Consider the following 1,028-nt stretch of genomic DNA (forward strand, 5'->3'; position numbering starts at 1 on the left):
TGTTTGTTGCCCAGGCTGGTCTCAAACTCCTGGGCTCAAGCTGTATCACCCTGCCTCAGGCTCCCAAAGTGCTGGGGTTACAGGCATCAGTCACCGTGCAAGGCAATTTATTTTATTATGCTCCATAATTTATATTTATAATACAACAGTATTTTAAATGTACTAAATACTACAAAATAATTTATTTTTATTTTCTTTTATTTTTTAGAGGCTTTCGAGCAAAAAAAAAAAAAAAAAAAAAAAAAAAAAAAAAAAAAAAAACCTGAAGGCCTGATAGACAAATTCTAAAAGAGCTGTAACACTATAAAATAATTTTTAAGACACTAAATTATTTCCAATCTAGAATTCTATACTCAACCAAACTGTCAATCAAGTATGAGGGTAACAATCGAGAATAAATATATAGATATATAAGATAGCCAAAAATTTCCTTCCCATGTACTCTATTAATATTAGGGACTAAGCTAAGAAACAGGAAAATTTGGGATCCAGGAAACTGAGGATCCTATCCAAGGGAGGCAAAGATAGTGTCCAGGATATGGTAGGGAGGAGTTTCAGGATGTCAGTTTGAAGCCACAGTACAGATTGGAACAGAAGTATGGAGAGTTCAAAGAAAGATATTTTCAATAAGCAATTAGAACTAATGGATTACATGATGCATTTGATCCTGTGGAACGGCATTTAGAGTTCTGTAAGGTTCAGAAACATTAGTGATAGGTACAAAGAAAACAAAATTTTTAAAGGACAACTACTAATTGCAGTTTTTTTTTAAGTACAGAGAAATGAAAGCATACTATTAGATCACAAGACTTAGCTGTAAGAAATATTTACATAGTAAGGCCAGGCACAGTGGCTCACTCCTGTAATCCCAGCACTTTGGGAGGCTGAGGCAGGAGGATCGCCTGAGCCCAGGAGTTTGAGGACAGCCGGGGCAAAATGGCAAAACCCCAGCTCTACAAAAAATATAAAAATTAGCTGGGTGTGGTGGCACACACCTGTAGTCCCAGCTACTCGGGAGACAGAGGTGG

General features: G+C 36.7%; 1 pseudogene; it reads right to left on the reverse strand.

The window, feature by feature from the left end:
- Positions 1–264: 264 nt before the first annotated feature.
- On the reverse strand, positions 265–304 carry LOC124904759 (uncharacterized; annotated as a pseudogene).
- Between the last annotated feature and the right edge of the window lie 724 nt (positions 305–1,028).

This window comes from Homo sapiens, chromosome 1 (assembly GCF_000001405.40).
Source record: "Homo sapiens chromosome 1, GRCh38.p14 Primary Assembly".
NCBI classification, from domain to species: Eukaryota; Metazoa; Chordata; class Mammalia; order Primates; family Hominidae; genus Homo; species Homo sapiens.